General features: G+C 45.4%; 1 protein-coding gene across 3 annotated transcripts in view; it reads left to right on the forward strand.

Annotated features, from left to right (window-relative positions):
- SP1 (Sp1 transcription factor) overlaps window positions 1-16,015 on the forward strand; it is a 36,271-nt gene extending 20,256 nt beyond the window's left edge. For all 3 annotated transcript variants that reach the window (NM_138473.3, NM_001251825.2, NM_003109.1), the window contains exons 4-6: window positions 6,154-6,322; window positions 8,931-9,130; window positions 10,496-16,015. In NM_138473.3, the coding sequence (NP_612482.2) occupies window positions 6,154-6,322; window positions 8,931-9,130; window positions 10,496-10,809 (683 nt within the window). In that variant the 3' untranslated portion in view covers window positions 10,810-16,015. The remainder of the gene's footprint in view (window positions 1-6,153; window positions 6,323-8,930; window positions 9,131-10,495) is intronic.

A 17,734-nucleotide genomic window follows, 5' to 3' on the forward strand; every position in this document is an offset into this window, starting at 1 on the left:
GTTTCTGTGTTTTAGCTATCATGCATAATGCTGCTATGAATATTTGTTTATACGTTTTTGTGTGAACGTATGTTTTAATTTCTCTTGGTTATATACATAGGAGTGGAGTTACTGGGTTAGATTCAGTTGTGATGAGTTCGAGTCTGTATCTTTGTTTTGTTTTGTTTTTTGGGTTGTTTTGAGACAGAGCCTTGCTCCGTCGCCCAGGCTGGAGTGGTACGCTCTAGGCTCACTGCAACCTCCACCTCCCGGGTTCAAGCGATTCTCCTGTCTCAGCCTCCGGAGTAGCTGGGATTACAGGTGTGTACCACCACACTGGGCTAATTTTTTTTTTTTTTTTTTTTTTTTGAGACAGAGTCTCGTTCTGTCGCCCAGGCTGCAGTGAAGTGGCACAATCTCAGCTCACTGCAAGCTCCGCCTCCCAGGTTCACGCCATTCTCCTGCCTCAGCCTCCTGAGTAGCTGGTACTACAGGTGCCCACCACCATGCCTGGCTAATTTTTGTATTTTTAGTAGAGACAAGGTTTCACCATGTTGGCCAGGCTGGTCTCGAACTCCTGACCTCAGGTGATCCACCTGTCTCAGGCTCCTAAAGACCAAAGTGCTGGGATTGCAGGCATGAGCCACCTCATCTGGGTGAGTCTATATCTTGATCTTAAACATATTGGTTGCCCCATTTTATTACTATCCTTGGCAGTCTTACTGTTTTACTTAATTCCTAGAAATATTAAGTTTTTCTGGCCTGGCACGGTGGCACGTGCCGTAATCCCAGCACCTTGGCAGGCCAAGGCGGGTGGATCACCTGAGGTCGGGAGTTCGAGACCAGCCTGACCAACATGGTGAAACCCTGTCTCTACTAAAAGTACAAAAATTAGCCGGGCATGGTGGTGGGCGCCTGTAATCCCAGGTATTCAGGAGGCTGAGGCAGGAGAATCACTTGAACCCAGGAGGTGGAGGTTGCATTGAGCCAAGATCGCGCCATTGCACTCCAGCCTGGGCGACAAGAGCAAGACTCCATCTATCTGGGAAAAAAAAAAAAAAAAAAAAGCTTTGAATGCTCTTATCTATTTCATGCACACAACGAGCAATGATACTGGCAAGACATATTGAGATGTAAACTGCAGAGTCAAGAAAATTTTGATATGTTCATCATAATCATTACTTATTTTAAGAAAATATGATTTGGGGCCATGCTTAGTGTTGATTAAAGAAAATATTGGTGTATATCTTATTTCATGATTACTTACTATGGTTTTGCCACTCCTTAAGATATTTTCCTAATACTGTTAGCTACAATGTGTGATCTTGGCTCCCTGCAACCTCCATCTCCCAGGTTCAAGCAATTCTCCTGCCTCAGCCTTCCAAGTAGCTAGGATTACAGGCGCCCACCACCACACCCAGCTAATATTTGTATTTTTAGTAAAGAAGGAGTTTCATCATGTTGGCCAGGCTGGCCTGGAACTCCTGGCCTCAAGCGATCTGTCCAGCTCGGCCTTGTAAAGTGTTGGGATTATAGGTGTGAGCCTCTTCATTTGTTTTTCACAGTAATTTTATGAAGTTGATAATTGGTCGCAGTTTTACTGATGGAGAAGCTGACGACCAGAAAAGTTTTTGCTCATTATCAGAAACTTAATCAAATGGTTGTGAAAGGACTCATATCTAAGTTTCTCCTACTCCAAAACCTGTTCTTAACCCTGTACTCCAGTACATTTTCCTAGTTTCAGCTCTACCAATATCATGAAAATCTCAGACGTTCTGATTAAATTTATTTTAGTGCCATAGGCTGCACCTTTTTTTTTTTTTTTTTTTTAAGACGGAGTTTTGCTCTTGTCGCCCAGGCTGGAGTGCAATGGCAGGATCTTGGCTCACTGCAACCTCCGCCTCCCAAGTTCAAGCGATTGTCCTGCCTCAGCCTCCCAAGTAGCTGGGACTACAGGCATGCGCCACCATGCCCGGCTAATTTTTGTATTTTTAGTAGAGAAGGGGTTTCACCATCTTGGCCAGGCTGGTCTCGAACTCCTGACCTCATGATCCACCCGCCTCGGCCTCCCAAAGTACTGGGATTACAGGCGTGAGCCGTTGCGCCCGGCCTGGACTGCTCCGTAAAAGTGACTGAATGAGAAGGAGGCCGGGCAAGGTGGCTCAGGCTGGTAATGCCAGCACTTTGGGAGACCAAGGGGGGCGGATCACCTAAGGTCAGGAGTTTGAGACCAGCCTGGCCAAACTGGTGAAACCCTGTCTCTACTAAAAATGCAGCCGGGTGCAGTGGCTCACACCTGTAATCCCATCACTTTGGGAGGTCGAGGCGGGCGGATCATGAGGTCAGGAGTTGGAGACCAGCCTGGCCAATATGGTGAAACCCCGTCTCTACTAAAAAAGTAAAAAATTAACCGAGCGTGGTGGTGCATGCCTGTAGCCTGTAGTCCCAGTTACTTAGAAGGCTGAGGCAGGAGAATCACTGGAACCTGGGAGGCAGAGGTTGCAGTGAGTCAAGGTCGTGCCACTGCACTCCAGCCTGGGCGACAGAGATTCCATCTCAGAAAAAAAAAAAAAATGCAGAAATTAGCCAGGCACGGTGGCGGGAGCCTCTACCTGCAATCACAGCTACTCGGGAGGCTGAGGTAGAAGAACTGCTTGAACCAGGGAGGCGGAGGTGGCAGTGGACCAAGATTCTACTGCACTCCCACTCCGTCTCAAGAAAGAAAAAAAAAGAATTGGAAGGAAAGCACAAGGAGAGTTTTATTAGGCATAGTAACTCAAAATTATGTGGAAGAGCTGAAAAGGATAGAGATTAGGTACAGAAGTAAAATCAAGAACCTGGATTTCTAGATGTTAAGTCTGTCCTACCTCGTTTAGTTACTTTCTTTCCTTTTAAAATAGATAAAACAAAGCAGTCCAAGTTAACACCTTGCATTATAGAAATCTTTTTTGGTTTTTTGTTTTTTTGAGATGGGCTCTGTCACCCAGGCTGGAATGCAGTTGTACAATCAGGACTCACTGCTGCCTCCATCTCCCAGGCTCAAGTGATTACCCTGCTTCATCCTCCCAGGTAGTTGGGACTCCAGGCACACGCCACCATGCCCAGCTAATTTTTTTTTTTTTTTGTAGAGATGAGGTCTTAACTGTGTTGCCCAGACCGATCTCAAACTCCTGGGCTCAAAGAATCCTCCTGCCTTGGCCTCCCAAGGTGCTGGGATTATAGGCATGAGCCACCGTGCCTTCCCAGACATATTAAATATATGGATAGAGTTGCTAACTTGTTTACAAGATGCTGTGATAGACTAATACTTATTTATAGTAAATGCTTTGAAAATTTGAGAAAGGCTAGGCAGCAGTAGCTAATGTCTATAATCACAACAGAACATTTTGGGGGGCTGAGGCGGGAGGATCACTTGAGCCCAGGAGCTCGAGATCAGCCTGGACAACATGGTGAGACCCGGTCTCCTTAAAAAAAGGAAAGGCCGGGCACGGTGGCTCACGCCTGTAATCCCAGCACTTTGGGAGGCCGAGGCGGGCGGATCATGAGGTCAGGAGACCAAGACCATCCTGGCTAACACAGTGAAACCCCGTCTCTACTAAAAATACAAAAAGTTAGCCGGGCGTGGTGACGGGCGCCTGTAGTCCCACCTACTAGGGAGGCTGAGGCAGGAGAATGGCGTGAACCTGGGAGGCGGAGCTTGCAGTGAGCCGAGATCGCGCTACTGCACTTCAGCCTGGGCGACAGAGCGAGACTCCGTCTCAAAAAAAAAAAAAGGAAAGAAGTCTTGAGAAGAATATTATCTGCCACTTTATAAGATATTACTTTTGCGAAGAATATTATCAGCCGGGTGCGGTGACTCACGCCTGTAATCAGCACTTTGGGAGGCCAAGGCGGGCGGATCACAAGGTCAGGAGTTCGAGACCAGCCTGTCGAAGATGGTGAAACCCCATCTCTACTAAAAAAATACAACAAAATACAAAAAGTAGCCAGGGGTGGTGGTGGGTGCCTGTAATCCCAGCTACTCAGGAGGCTGAGGCAGGAAAATCGCTTGAACCCAGGAGGCGGAGGTTGCAATGAGTCAAGATTGTGCCATTGCACTCCAGCCTGGGCAACAAGAGTGTAACTCAGTCTCAAAAAAAAAAAAAAAAGAATATTATCTGTCACTTTTTACCAGTGGCCTAGAGCTGTGTTTGAAAATGTCAAATGTGACCAACTGAGTCATGATGAGAGTCTAAAGCATTTTAGCATACACTGTTTATTTATATATATTTTTTTGAGTTGGAATCTTGTTCTGTTGGCCAGGCTGGTGTGCAGTGATGTGATCATAGCTCACTGTAGCCTTAAACACCTTGGCTCAAGCAATCTTCCTCCCACCTTAGCCTCCTGAGTAGCTGGGACCATAGGCGCATGCCACCATGCCCAGCTAATTATTATTATTATTTGGCGACGAAGTCTCGCTCTGTCGGCCAGGCTGGAGTGCAGTGGCACAGTCTCGGCTCACTGCAACCTCTGCCTCCTGGGTTCAAGCAATTCCTGTCTCAGCCTCCCGAATAGCTAGGATTACAAGCGTACTCCACCATACCCAGCTGATTTTTTTTGTTTTGTTTTTGTATTTTTAGTAGAGATGGGGGTTTTACCATGTTGGCCAGGCTGGTATTGAACTCCTGACCTCAAGTGATCCAACCACCTCGGCCTCCCAAAGTGCTGGGATTACAGGCGTGAGCTACCATGCCCAGCCTATTATTTATTTTATAGACAGAGTGTCCCTATGTTGCCCAGGCTGGTCTTGAACTCCTAATCTCAAGCAGTTCTCCTGCCTCAGCCTTCCAAAGTGCTGAGGTTACAGGCAGAACCACATGTAAATATATGGGCATTGCTGGTTCAAATTAGATGTACATTTAAATATTTTCAAACTGGCCTTCAAAAAGTTGTATTAATTTATCACTATTTGTGTATGAAAATGTCTCTTTCCGGCTGGACATGGTGGCTCATGCCCACCCGTAATCCCAGCACTTTCGAAGGCCGAGGCGGGTGGATCACCTAAGGTCAGGAGTTCGAGACAGCCTGACCAACATGGTGAAACCCCATCTCTCCTAAAAATACAAAAAAGTTAGCCAGTCATGGTGGCATATACCTGTAGTTGCAGCTACTTGGGAGGCTAAGGCAGGAGAATCACTTGAACCCAGGAGATGGAGGTTGCAGTGAGCCCAGATAATGCCACTGTACTCCAGAGCCAGCGAGACTCTGTCTCAAAAAAAGAAAGGAAAGAAAAGAGAGAGAGAGAGAAGGAAGGAGGGAAGGAGGGAGGGAGGGAAGGAAGAGAGAGAGGGAGGGTCTGTTTTCCTGTACCCTTACCAATGCCGTATGTTATTAGGGTTTCAACTTTTGGTAATCTGATAGGTGAAAAATTACAAATGCGTTATAAGTGGAGTTGCATTTTAAAAACTATGATCGGGGGAGGGATAGCATTAGGAGATATACCTAATGCTAAATGACGAGTTAATGGGTGCAGCACATCAGTATGGCACATGTATACATATGTAACCTACACGTTGTGCACATGTACCGTAAAACTTAAAGTATAATAATAAAAAAAAACAACTATGAGATTTGATCAGATTTTTACGTATTTATTGGCTCTTGGTATTTTCTTTCTTTTTTTTTTTTTTTTTTTTTTTTGAGACAGAGTCTTGCTCTGTCACCCAGGCTGGAGTACAATGGTGCAGTCTCGCTAACTGCAACCTCCGCCTCCCGGGTTCAAGCAATTCTCCTGGCTCAGCCTTCCAAGGAGCTGGGATTACAGGCATGCGTACCATTCCCAGCTAATTTTGTATTTTTAGTAGAGACGGGATTTCTCCGTATTGGTCAGACTGGTCTTGAACTCCTGACCTCAGGTGATCCGCCCACCTCGGCCTCCCAAAGTGATGGAATTACAGGCGTGAACCACTGCGCCCAGCCACTCTTGGTATTTTCAATGATGATTCTTGAGATTTCAGTGAGTCTTCAGGTGTCAGTGAATGGAATGGCTAAACATAAAAAGGCTTCAAAACTTGTGATACTGTGAATGTAGGATGTCAGTTCAAAAGAAATGATGTTGTGACTGTAGGGTATCACTGAGATGCCAGTGATAACCTGCCCATGTCACATGTTGACCCTTTTCTCTCTTAATTTCAGGTGATCATGGAGCTCAGCTTGGTCTCCATGGGGCTGGTGGTGATGGAATACATGATGACACAGCAGGTGGAGAGGAAGGAGAAAACAGCCCAGATGCCCAACCCCAAGCCGGTCGGAGGACCCGGCGGGAAGCATGCACCTGCCCCTACTGTAAAGACAGTGAAGGAAGGTGAGTTGACCCAGCCAGTTTCTTACAAATATAAAGAAAAATTAATAGATTTGGAGATAAGAGGAAGAAGATTAATTTTTTTTTTTTTTGAGACCGAGTCTGACTCTGTTGCCCAGGCTGGAGTGCAGTGGCGCAATCTTGGCTCACTGCAAACTCCACCTCCTGGGTTCACGCCATTCTCCTGCCTCAGCCTCCCGAGTAGCTGGGACTACAGGCACCTGTCACCACACCCAGCTATCTTTTTTTATTTTTAGTAGAGACAGGGTTTCACTGTGTTACCCAGGATGGTCTCGATCTCCTGACCTCGTGATCTGCCCGCCTCGGCCTCCTAAAGTGCTGGGATTACCAGCGTGAGCCACCATGCCCGGCAAAGGTTAATTTTTTTTTTTAGGATTTAAGACTCAGAGCTGGATGCATATAATCCCAGCACTTTGGGAGGCCAAGATAGGAGGATCACTTCAGCCCAGGAGTTTGAGACCAGCCTCAGCAAGAAAGCGAGAGCCGATCTCTACAAAAATTTAAAAATTATGTGGGAATATTTTACTGGCCATAAAAAGAGAAAATGAAAAAAAAAAAAATTTTTTTTTTTTCTGAGACAAAGTCAGTCTGTGTTTCCCAGGCTGGAGTGCAGTGGCACATTCTTGGCTCACTGCAACCTCCACCTCCTGGGTTCAAGCAATTCTGCCTCAGTCTCCCGAGTAGCTGGGACTACAGGCGTGTGCCACCACGCCCGGCTAAGTTTTTCTATTTTTAATAGAGACAGGGTTTCACCTTGTTAGCCAGGATGGTCTTCATCTCCTGACTGTGTGATCTGCCCACCTCGGCCTCCCAAAGTGCTGGGATTACAGACGTGAGCCACTGCACCTGGCCAAAAAAATTTATTTATTTATTTTTTTGTTTTGAGATGGAGTCTTGCTCTGTTGCCCAGGCTGGAGTGCAGTGGCACAATCTTGGCTCACTGCAGGCTCCGCCCCCTGGGTTCACGCCATTCTCCTGCCTCAGCCTCCCTAGTAGCTGGGACTACAGGTGCCCGCCACCTCGCCCAGCTAATTTTTTGTATTTTTAGTAGAGACGGGGTTTCACCGTGTTAGCCAGGGTGGTCTCGATCTCCTGACCTTGTGATCCGCCTGCCTTGGCCTCCCAAAGTGCTGGGATTACAGGCATGAGCCATGGGGGCGCCCGGCCTTTTTTTTTTTTTAAGACAGATCTTCATCCGGGTACGGTGGCTCACGCCTGTAATCCCAGCACTTTGGGAGGCCAAGGCGGGCGGATCACCTGAGGTCAGGAGTACAAGACCAGCCTGGCCAACATGGTGAAACCCCATCTCTACTAAAAGTACAAAAATTAACCGGCGTGGTGTCAGGTGCCTGTAATCCCAGCTACTTGGGAGGTTGAGGTAGGAGAATTGCTCGAACTTGGGAGGTGGAGGTTGCAGTGAACCGAGATCGTGCCGTTACACTCTAGCCTGGGCGACAGAGTGAGACTCTGTCTCAAAAAAAAAAAAAAGAGCTTCGCTCTTGTTGCCCAGGCTGGAGTGCAACGGCACGATCTCGGCTCACTGCAACCTCCACCTCCCAGGTTCAAGCAATTCCTCTGCTTCAGCCTCCCAAGTAGCTGGGATTACAGGCATGTGCCACCACGCCTGGCTAATTTTGTATTTTTAGTAGAGATGGGGACCATGTTGATAAGACTGGTCTTGAACAATTTTTGTATTTTTTAGTACAGATGAGGTTTCGCCATGTTGGCCAGGCTGGTCTCGGATCCCTGACCTCAGGTGATCAATCCACCTGCCTCGGCCTCCAAAAGTGTTGGGATTACAGGCGTGAGCCATCACTCCCAGCCCCTAGAAACCTTTTTAAAAAAGAAGGCTTGGCCGGGTGCGGTGGCTCACGCCTGTAATCCCAGCACTTTGGGAGGCCGAGGTGGGTGGATCACAAGGTCAGGAGATCGAGACCATCCTGGCTAACATGGTGAAACCCCGTCTCTACTAAAAATACAAAAAATTAGCCGGGTGTGGTGGCGGGCACCCATAGTCCCAGCTACTCGGGAGGCTGAGGCAGGAGAATGGCGTGAACCCGGGAGGTGGAGGTTGCAGTGAGCCAAGATTGCGCTATTACACTCCAGCCTGGGCGACAGAGCGAGACTCCGTCTCAAAACAAACAAACGAACAAAAAAAAGAAGCCTTGGTCCAGTGCAGTGGCTCACGCCTGTAATCCCAGTACTTTGGGAGGCGGAGGTGGGCAGATCCATCACCTGAGCTCAGGGGTTCGAGACCAGCCTCGCCAACATTGCGAAACCTCATCTGCACTAAAAATATAAAAATTAGCTGGGCATGGTGGTGTGCACCTGTAATCCCAGCTACTCGGGAGGCTGAGGCAGGAGAATCGCTTGAACCTAGGAGGCGGAGGTTGCAGTGAGCCGTGATCATGCTACTGTACTCCAGCCTGGACGACAGAGTGAGACTCTCTCAAAAAAACAAAAAAGAAGACTTTTTCAAAAAATAAAAGTTTGGGTTAGTTTGGTGTCGATTGGGTGATTGCTGTTGATACTTTGTGGTTCTTTAGTTTTCTCTAGAATGAATGATTAACAGTTGTGTCCTCACTTTCAGGGGCTCGGGGGATCCTGGCAAAAAGAAACAGCATATTTGCCACATCCAAGGCTGTGGGAAAGTGTATGGCAAGACCTCTCACCTGCGGGCACACTTGCGCTGGCATACAGGCGAGAGGCCATTTATGTGTACCTGGTCATACTGTGGGAAACGCTTCACACGTTCGGATGAGCTACAGAGGCACAAACGTACACACACAGGTGAGCAAGAGCCTATGGGAGAGAAAAATAGTAATAGACTAGAATGAAAAACACAAAATATACCTACAAAATAACTAAAATTTCTGAGCAACTTAATTTGAAACTGAATATATGGGTCACAAATGGAATTGGAGTTAATCTGGAAAATTTTTAAGAAGGAAGGAGGGGCTGGGTGCAGTGGCTCACGCCTGTAATCCCAGCACTTTTGGAGGCCGAGGCGGGCAGATCACGAGGTCAGGAGATCGAGACCATTCTGGCTAACATGGTGAAACCCCGTCTCTACTAAATATACAAAAAAATTAGCCGGGCATGGTGGCAGGCGCCTGTAGTTGCAGCTACTCAGGAGGTGGAGGCAGGAGAGTGGCATGAACCTGGGAGGCGGAGCTTGCAATGAGCCAAGATCGTGCCACTGCACTCCAGCCTGGGCGACAGAGCGAGACACTGTCTCAAAAAAAAAGGAAGGAGCCAGGTGTCGTGGCTCATGCCTGTAATCCCAGCCCTTTGGGAGGCCGAGGTGGGTGGATTTCTTGAGGTCAGGAGTTCAAGACCAGCCTGGCCAACATGGGGAAACCCTGTCTCTACTAAAATTACAAAATAGTCAAGCGTGCTGGTGCACACCTGTAATCCCAGCTACTCAGGAGGCTGAGGCAGGAGAATTGCTTGAACCTTGGAGGCGGAGGTTACAGTGAGCTGAGATTGTGCCACTGCACTCCAGCCTAGGCGACAGAGCAAGACTCTGTCTCAAAAAAATAAAATAAAATAAAATAAGGAGCTAGATTTTGAGTGGGATTTTTGAAGGTGAAGCATTGAAACCATTACTCTTAGTCTCTGCCCTGCCTTACTTTTAAAACTGCTAAGTTCTACCTTCCTTACCGAGTACTCCCCAACCTTTATCTAGTTTTCTTCCTCACGCCCCCGCCAAAAGGAAAATATACTTGAAGTTTTTTGTTTTTTGTTTTTTTTTTGAGACAGAGTCTCTGTCGCCCAGGCTGGAGTGCAGTGGCGCGATCTCGGCTCACTGCAAGCTCCGCCTCCCGGGTCCACGCCATTCTCCTGCCTCAGCCTCTCCGAGTAGCTGGGACTACAGGCGCCCGCCACCACGCCCGGCTAATTTTTTGTATTTTTAGTAGAGACAGGGTTTCACCGTGGTCTTGATCTCCTGACCTCGTGATCTGCCCGCCTTGGCCTCCCAAAGTGCTGGGATTACAAGCGTGAGCCACCACGCCCAGCCACTTGAAGATTTTTCTTGTTTTTGATCACCTTCTCATACTGGCCTTACTCAGCTTAGTAGAGTAAGCACTGAATTGGGTAAGGTAACCTCACTTCCTAACATGTCAGCTTCTTATCTTTTCTTCCTTTACCTAGGTGAGAAGAAATTTGCCTGCCCTGAGTGTCCTAAGCGCTTCATGAGGAGTGACCACCTGTCAAAACATATCAAGACCCACCAGAATAAGAAGGGAGGCCCAGGTGTAGCTCTGAGTGTGGGCACTTTGCCCCTGGACAGTGGGGCAGGTTCAGAAGGCAGTGGCACTGCCACTCCTTCAGCCCTTATTACCACCAATATGGTAGCCATGGAGGCCATCTGTCCAGAGGGCATTGCCCGTCTTGCCAACAGTGGCATCAACGTCATGCAGGTGGCAGATCTGCAGTCCATTAATATCAGTGGCAATGGCTTCTGAGATCAGGCACCCGGGGCCAGAGACATATGGGCCATACCCCTTAACCCCGGGATGCAAGGTAGCATGGGTCCAAGAGACATGGAAGAGAGAGCCATGAAGCATTAAAATGCATGGTGTTGAGAAGAATCAGGAGAGGGATACAAGAGAGGAGATGGGGTCCCGGCACCCATCTGTATCATCAGTGCCTCTTTGAAGGTGGGAAACATTAGTGAAAATTCTGTTGGTGCCACGCTTTGATGAGCATTTGTTTGACCCCAGTTTCTTCTTACACTTCTTACCCCAGCCTACCCTTCCTGCATTTCTCTTCTCAGCTCTTCCATGATGGATTCCCCCCCCTTTCCTAAAGCCATCATGCCTTGATAAATATATATGATCATTGAAATACTTTTTAACAAAAAACAGATTCTATATTATTATATATATATATATATATATAAAGATATATAGAGATGCATTCACAGGGGTTGGCTGGGAGGAGGAAGACCATTCTGTGACCAAAATACCTTGGTCATTTTTTTTATATTGCCTTATTTCCCTATGGCTGAGCCTTGTTGTGACACATCAAGCTTTTCTGTAGATGTTGTCTTGGCTTCCCACCAGCTTAAGCGTTCATATGCTCTGCTTTTAGTTCATATATACATACATAATGTTTTTCCTTTCTTAATTTTGTCTTTTTGTTTGGGATCAGCTTCTTGCACTCCTTCCCTAACTCAACTGTTGCCGTCTCATCTTCTCTCATCTGATCACTTCATGTTTTGTTTTTGTTACTGCCTGGATGAGGCACTTCTGTCAATTTTTTCAGGACCTTAGTTCCAGCAGCAGAATGGAAAAATCCTTGAAGCCCAGGCTGATGCTTGAAGTAACTGTGGAGGGAGTGTTCAAAATACTACTGACGCAGGCACCTTCTTGGCGCTGGAGAGTCAAAGGCATCTCCCTTCATTAGCTGCTCTGAGCATCAAGAATTAGAAGTCTTTCAGTGGAATTGTACAAGAGTCCCTTTGAAGATAATAATCTTGGCTCAGTTTGTATAAACTGTCAAATTTTCAAATAATAGGTAGGGGGCTTTCACTAGGAAAATCATGTGCTCAGAAGAGGAAATGACTCGTAGTCAGGTTCAGGAGTTAGTGGAGTATTTGGACTTTGGTACTGCTGTCTTCCAAGGTAGCTCTAAGTTTTGATGTGTGGGCTTCTGAGTTTATATTCTGAAAGGAAATACACTTCTTTTGAACATCCCCACTAGGTTCTTTTCCATTGTCAATAAGGAGCATCAGCCAGTGAATCTGTTTCAGGTTTCCATTCTGCAGAACTCCTCCAAAGCATGTGCTAGTGGCAAGACAGTGGTTCTTATGATGTTTTCCCTTAACTTTTCCTTGTATGTTCTTGGGTGGTTCCTAAGGGAAAGGGAAGCACATGATCATGGGAATGATAGCCCAGAACAAAAAGAAATCTTGTCTTACCACAGTGTTTTATAGGAGAGATTGGGAGAAATCATCCTGTTTTCTCTGTGACCTGATTTCAGAAGAGACTGATCCAAAAATTATAACGGCAGGGAACCTAGTGCATTTGGCACTGAGATTTAAATGCAACCAGAATTGTCCTCAAGGCCCAGCCATAAAAGCATTGTCTCTCTCGACCTTCTGGTATCTTGTTAGAGAGCTTTTCACTGTGAGGAAGTGTGGAAAAATAGCTCTGTGTGTGTGTGTGTGTGTGTGTGTGTGTGTGTGTGTAATCTGTTAGGTTGGGGATAGGTTTTCTGCTAGCCAATATTAAAAGAGACCTGCAATAAAAAAATTACCCTGATCTGATAGAAAGCAAGTGTTTTTGTATGTGTGGGTGAATGTGTGTTCATGCCCGTATATGTCTACACACAGATGACAAATTATATTTGAAATCGTTGGAAAATAAATTCAGATCAAAATGCCTTTCAGGCCCATTACCTAGAAATCTATCTTAAAACCTGGGTATGTTCCTAAGGTCATTTCTTTGCTTATGCTAAATTAATTACAATTATGAATGGAGGATATTCTACTGTACTTTTTTAAAAAGAAACTATTTTTGTGTTTGAAAGTGAAACCAACATCCAGATCTATAGCAGAGTCCTTATTCTTCTCATAAATCTTTTTACTTTGGCTACAAATAGATGATGGTATGATTCTATTATATATTTTATATAAAATCCATCCAAATTAAGTTTTGGGTAAGTGTGTTGTTTAATCTGAACTATAGTAACTTAATACTCTAAACAATAGTTCACTCCATTTGGTCCTTTCTCCACAGATGTAATTATGTTTTCAACTCAGGAACTATGGCAAGGAACTTTCCCCAGATCAAATTCTATTAACGCTGAGATACAAGTCATCCATGCACAGCCACTATCATACCCTTTATTCTCACTGAAAGGCAGAACTCAGAACCTGTTATTTTATGTCTGTAATCATGTACTTTGGCATCTTTTGGAGGAAAGGGGCAGGATAACTCACTGGAATGTACAGTATTTTGCTAGTGCATTTCAAGGAATGGAATCTTCTCCAGTATGAAATTACCAGATATAAAATAATGTAATGATGCTGAGGATATAAGCTTTTAGAAGGTAATTTGATGGTATTTCTTTCTCGAATGAAAAGCTGCTGGTTTACCCTCAACCCTATTCATTAGCATTACCATGAGTGAATTTATATCTAATTATTTCCACTTGCCCTGTTCTCTTCACACCAAGGAAGCTCCAGATCCAGTATCTTGTTTGGCCTCAAAACAGAAGCAGCTTCTTTTGTCTCCCAGCAGTAGTGAGCCACTCAGTCTCTTCCACAGGAAGTTTGGAGCCTACATTCCTTGAGTCAGGAGCTTATTACAGAAAAACCCCGTTTCCCTGAACTTTTGGCTAACAGAAATTAATTTAACTGACATGCATATTGATTCTGAAATTTTTTTCCTAAGTTTTTTTCATTTTTTTGAATGAGTTTTTTAAATTTTTTAGATGACCAAAACTTGCAGGGCAGGGGATGCCCAGAAGAGTGGTGAGATAGTAAAACACTTATTCCCTCATCCTTTCAGGTTTTCAGGTTGCCCATTTATATTCATTTACATGTCATTTGACTGTCTCACTTTTTACCCAGAACAGTAACAACCCACACCGTCTTCCTTCAGGGATTTCCAACTGGCACTCTGTGGGTGCTACACAGAATGCAATTTAATGGATATTTCTCAGCCTGGTTCAGAATAAATTGATCCTTTGATCCCAGAAAGTATATACTGAAGTGTGGGATAAAGATTATGATTAGGGGAGGGTTGGAGACAAAAGCTGTAAATTACTATGGCTGATTTATTTCTACTATATACATATATATTTTTTGCTTTTGTATATCCTATATAGGAAACTAAGCATTGTATTTTTTTTAACAAATCTAAAAAAGCACTATGAACTACAGGTGTTTGACTTTCAAAATATATTTTGTATTGTTAATATCTTCACATTGTGTGAATACTGGAAGCTGCAGATCTTTGCTAGGACGCAATAAATTTATATACTTTTTGAGGGGTTCTTCTGGGGTGCTAATCAGGCCCCTGTTATGCTTAGGGGGAGCCCTGGTGCTACTTGCTTGAAGTTTTCAGTGTAAGTACCCTGATGCCTTTTGGACCTTGGGATCAGATCAAGAGTTTTGGAGATCAGGTACCAAGGAAATAAGGACAGTCTAGCTGCCTCAAGTGAGGGGCCCTTTGCATAGCTCTCCTTCCCCCTCACTGAAGCTGGGTAGCCTATTGGGGTTGAGAGGGAAAATGTGAAATCTCAGAATTTATCTCCCTTAGAAGAGAGCCAGTAACTTATGTACAAGGATGAAAGAAAGGTCGCAGCAGTAGCTTTGGGGAAAGGGAGGAAGATATGGCACTTCTCCAACCCCGGAAAACATTGCTTTTGAAAACTGCTGATAAAATATGAGCCGGTTATTACTTCTGTTTGGGAGACTGTGCTCTCTGTGGTGCCTCTCTTGGCTCTACTCCACAGATACCAGACCTCTTCTAAGAGGATGAGCAGACCAGCTTTGAGGTTGACCTGTTTCTCTTTGTCTGCCTTCCCAAAACACCAGCCCCCAGGAAGACATTAAGCAGCCTTAAGCTTAAATTCCTACTCCCTCTTCCAAATTTGGCTCACTTGCCTTAGATCCAAGGCAGGGAAAGGAAAAGAAGGGGGGTCTCTGGCTTTATTACTCCCCTAAGTCTTTACTCTGACTTCCCCAAACCCAGAAAGATTTTCTCCACAGTGTTCATTTGAAAGAGGAGTATTTTGTCCCATTTTCCCCTTCCTCATTATCAAACAGCCCCAGTCTTCCTTGTCTCTGCTAAGAAAGTAGAGGCATGATGATCTGCCTCTCAACTGCCCTAAGTCCTAGCTAAGTATCAGGGGAAAAAAAAAAAAAAAAAGCCTAACAAATGGGATTAGACTAGGGCTGCAAGTAGTGAGGATTTTGTTGATACCTCTGCTGGGATGTGTGCTTTCCCATATCTTGCCTTCAGGAATTACACTGTGCCTTTTCCCCAGGGATATGGGCTCTGTCTACCCAGTGCTCCAGTTTCCCGGTAACTGCTCTTGAACATTGTGGACAAGGGCAGGTCTTCATATTTTTGATCATCCCTTTCTCCCAGTGAAATCCCATAGCCCTTACCTAGAGTCTAGGGCACAAAGACTTCGGGGAAGATACACTGAGATTGACCTGAGGAGACATCTACACACACCAGTGGCAGCTGCCCCAGGGCCTGCTTCCCCTTCCTAAGTCTGTCATCCTCTGGAAGGGATGGGTGGTGCTCCAATCTCTGGTGCCTAAAAACCCAAGTTTATTTCTCTCTTAACACTGGCAATAACCAGTCCACACCACTGTTGCCTTTTAAAACCTCTTAATAATCTCATGCTGTGTTTGTTTTGATTCCAATCCAATTATCACCAGGGCTGTGTGGGTAAATGCTTTTAAATGCTCTCTCATCTTGTTCTTCCCCCTCACCCCCCACTCTTAGGTATGTATGATGCTAATCTTGTCCCTAAGTAAGTTTCTTCCTGCTCCTTTTGTATCTTCCTTTCTTGTCTTTCCTCCTACCTTTTGTCTCTTGGTGTTTTGGGACTTTTTTTTTTTTTTTTTTGGCCTTTTGTACAAAGATTAGTTTCAATGTAGTCTGTAGCCTCCTTTGTAAACCAATTAAAAAGTTTTTTAATAAAAAACCATGTCTCTGGTGTATTGAAGAGGGTTGGGAATGGTGAGAGTGTACGTTTGTAACTTCATACTCTGAACCTAACAAAGGTTTCCAGCTACACTGTGTTGTGCTCCATACATGTTAATTAGTGCAATTGCCCTATATTTAACTCCCGGGTAAATGGTTTCATGACCAGATCAATGTGCCACAACTACACGGAAATGTGGAGGACCAAGACAAACAGGCAACACTAACTTTATTTTTTTTCTCATATGCTTTTTTATTTTGGAATAATTTTAGATTTACAGAAAAGTTGTAAAGCTAGAACAGAGTTTCCATATAATCCTTACCCGTTTCCCTCATTGTTAACATATTACCATGGTACATTGTCAAAATTAAGAAACTGACATCGTGGCCAGGTGTGGTGGCTCACGCTTGTAATCCCAGCACTTTGGGAGGCTGAGGTGGGTGGATCACGAGGTCAGGAGATCGAGACCATCCTGGCTAACACGGTGAAACTGTCTACTAAAAATACAAAAAATTAGATGGGCGTGGTGGCGGGCATCTGTAGTCCCAGCTACTTGGGAGCTGAGGCTGGAGAATGGCGTGAACCCGGGAGGCGGAGCTTGCAGTAAGCCGAGATTTCACCACTGCACTCTAGCCTGGGCGACAGAGCAAGACTCCGTCTCAAAAAAAAAAAAGGTTTGTCTCTTCTCCCTCATTTGTTTAGTCAATTTATATTAGTATGTATTAATGTGTATTTATTTTATACATGGATTATAATCCATTACTATTTTGTTGCTCAGATTTTCCCAGCTACAGTCATTGTTATCTTTTGTCAGCCTATAAGCATGTTCTGGCTGGGCGCGGTGTCTCACCCCTGTAATCCCAGCACTTTGGGAGGCTTAGCTGGGTGGATCACTTGAGGTCAGGAGTTTGAGACCAGGCTGGCCAACATGGTGAAACACTGTCTCTACTAAAAATACAAAAACGTAGCCGGGCGTGGGGGCAGGTACCTGTAATCCCAGCTACTTGGGAGGCTGAGGGAAGAGAACTGCTTGAACCGGGAGGCGGAGGTTGCAGTGAGCCAAGATCACGCCATTACACATTGCCTGGGCAACGAAGCGAGACTCTCAAAAAAAAAAAAAACATGTTCAAGTATTCCCCCTTCCCCCATTTTAAAAAACCTCAGCTTCCTCTTCAAGCTACTGATTAGTTTTTTCCATTTCCAAAGTTAGTGAAAGTAGTTTACACTCATTTTTCTCTTCCTTTATTGAATCCTCAGGCTACTTTGTGGGTTTGCTTTTGTTTGTTTTTTTTGTTTTTGTTTTTTGGGATGGAGTCTTGCTCTGTCACTCAGGCTGGAGTGCAGTGGCACGATCTCAGCTCACTGCAACCTCCACCTCCTGGGTTCAAGCAATTCTCTTGTTTCCGCCTCCCAAGTAGCTGGAATTACAGGCACGCGCCACCATGCCCGGCTAATTTTTGTATTTTTAATAGAGACGGGGTTTCACGATGTTGGCCAGGCTGATCTTGAACTGACCTCAGCTGATCCACCCGCCTCGGCCTCCCAAAGTGCAGGGATTACAGGCGTTAGCCACCGTGCCAGGACTGGTTTTTTTTGTTTGTTTGTTTGTTTGTTTTGAGACAAGGTCTGGCTCTATCACTCAAGCTGGAGTGCAGTGGCATCACTCTCATCTTGCCGCACTGCAACCTCCATCCCCTAAGCTCAAGCTGTCCTCCCACC

This window comes from Homo sapiens, chromosome 12, assembly GCF_000001405.40.
Source record: "Homo sapiens chromosome 12, GRCh38.p14 Primary Assembly".
In the NCBI taxonomy this organism is placed as follows: domain Eukaryota; kingdom Metazoa; phylum Chordata; class Mammalia; order Primates; family Hominidae; genus Homo; species Homo sapiens.